This window comes from Homo sapiens, chromosome 2 (genome assembly GCF_000001405.40).
Source record: "Homo sapiens chromosome 2, GRCh38.p14 Primary Assembly".
Taxonomy (NCBI): domain Eukaryota; kingdom Metazoa; phylum Chordata; class Mammalia; order Primates; family Hominidae; genus Homo; species Homo sapiens.
The window spans coordinates 136,326,853-136,329,299 of NC_000002.12; the positions used below are offsets into that span (position 1 = coordinate 136,326,853).

Genomic DNA, 2,447 nt, shown 5'->3' on the forward strand with positions numbered 1-2,447 from the left:
CCTCCCATCCATCTATCCATCCATCCATCCAACCAAACATTCAGGTAAACTAATGTAAACCAGAGTGTTATTGGCTTTAAAAATCATAACATTACATTGTTCCCAGTTGAGAGAATTTCTGGCATAATAACAGACTAAAGGGGTAGATATTGAGGGAGAACACAGAGTGGGTTTAACTATCTTATGTTCTCTACTTAATCAATAGCTGGTTAACTTAAATCTGTTATGCCAGGATAAAAACAAATTTGAAGATGGTTCTGCTCAGTCCACAGTCACTTCTGCCTAGTTGCTATCATTATAGAATGTGAAATAAACTGCAGCTGTGGCCACAAAGTCCCTTTTGCTGAGGCTGGGAGGGCCCAGGTTGCAGCAGATGCGGAGGCCTCTGCCAGGCACCTGCCCTGGTCTTGCTGCTGACCTCCTTGCAGGGTTTCGGTGGTGGGGCTCCTCCTGTGGTCAGGTCACTGGGATTTCGAATACGATCTGTCCTGTCATCACTTTCACTTTGATTAGCTTCATTCTGAAGAACTTTCGACAGCATTCGCAAACATGGGTCGGCATGAGAAAACCAGTTCCTCTGTATAGGACTGATTTAATCTCTTTGTATAGAGGCTGATCTTGGGAAAAAATACACTCCTGTTTACGTCAAACATACAGGACGCGTCAGCCCACAGCCACTCTCAATGCTTCCTGGGTTTTCTTGGTGGGGGCCCCTCTGCATCGCTGGGACAGTGAGTGAAGAGATTGGCCCTGATGTGTCAGTCCCTGCTGGGCTTGGTGCTGTTGTCTCTGGGTGTAATCAAACAATCTGTATCTTAGTGGGACATCCTGCTTGCTCTGTGTGACTCAGAGCTCTCAGGCAGCTGGTTGAAGCTTTGTTTATAGTAGTGCCACCCACTCACTCCACACCCCCGACTCCCTATAAACTACTCCACAGGTGGCCAGACTTTTGGTGCAAATAAAAGTTTGTCAACTGTTGCACCCTTTCTCCTGTCTTTTTTTTTTTTTAACTTATCTAAACAAAATTAAGCTGTGGGGAGTTCATTAATAAAAGGTTTCTTTTACAACATTATTGGCACTCTGCAAGGCGCTTTGGAGGAGAGTGGGAAGATCAATATTACCTAGAGTAAAATAGCAGGGCAGATATTACTCAAGGGAAATCGGTTCTTAATAAGAGAGAGAATATGGATTTCTATCCGGGCAGTCAGTTTGAATATGATGAAACAGTGTGTTAGAGTCGGCGGTCTAGTAATTATCTGAGAAGTCTTAGAGACTATAAATGTGTGTGTGTGTTATAAAAGAACAAACCAAAAAACCTCTCAGCCAAAGCTTTTCAGAAATAAAAAGCAAGTATTTCCACAGATGACCAGACACCAAAAAATTAGAACAATGTGAATCCATTAAATGACAAAAGTGCAGAGCATCACACAGAAATGGTGTGATGACTTCCTGCGTTTGCCTCTGGGAGGGAGGCAGAGAACAGGGAGAAAATGCAGGCTTCTAGATGGGACCGCTAATGAGAAGCCATTCCTCTTCTTTAAGCCTGGGTCTTTTACTTGTCTCTTGGACGCTTCGTGAACATGTGAAAACGGGCAGAAAGCGCAGTGGAATGGTACTGAGAGCACACCAATTTAATGGGGTGCAGGTTACTCTCCATCCTTGTCATGTGAGCCAATTAACCTTCCGGCTGTTGAAATGCAACTGGCAGTTAATTGGGCCATTGTTGAGAACAGTGCAGAGGCCTTAGTACCATTTGCAAATTGCTGAGATAGGAATCTCTGGATGGCTCCTGGGATGAGGGCAAACCAGTTCAGCTGCAGCTATGGTGGAACCTTGGCTCTTAGGCCCAAGGAGTTTCCAGGTGACCCCTGGAAGTCCCAGTGCATTGCAGTCTTAGCACATTGCTCGAGAAGGTGAGGGAGAAGAAGAGAGAAATGAAAGAAAATTTCCAGATGAAGAAAAGACAGGAAAGACAGAGGAAGAAAGGAGGGAGGGAGATTGAATAAAAGAAAGAGGGAGAAGGTGAAGAAGGAAAGAGAGAGAGAGAATATATATAACGCTTTTAGGTGTTACCTTTGATCAGGGCGATTGACCAAGGTCAGCTTTCTTCAACGTGTATTCAGAGGAGGGCTCATGTCCTATAAGGTATTCATTGGTGTTTTACGGGGGAAATTTTTAAAAAGTGGGGCAGGGAAATCCACTGGTCCCACCCATTTGGGAAGTGTTTGGTTCAGCAGGTTTCTCTGGTGTAGCTCCTCTCAGAGCCTTTCGTAAACTGGAGTGCATTATGGAGCTCCAAGATGGGGCCATAGTATACAATTTCTCCTTACATTATTTTATTGAGATATTGTTTATTCAAGGACAAGCAGTCTGAGAAATGGAGTTTTTGAAATAATGATCCAGGCCTTTCCTGCAACACTGAGCTGTTTCTTTCCTTTTCTTTTTTA

General features: G+C 44.0%; 1 annotated feature.

Annotated features, from left to right (window-relative positions):
- Positions 466–595: an enhancer, noted in NCBI's record as "active region_16587". NCBI's record gives its function as "activates an Ori minimal core promoter by ATAC-STARR-seq in GM12878 lymphoblastoid cells {active_cell/tissue: GM12878}" and the evidence as "EXISTENCE:reporter gene assay evidence [ECO:0000049][PMID:35858748]".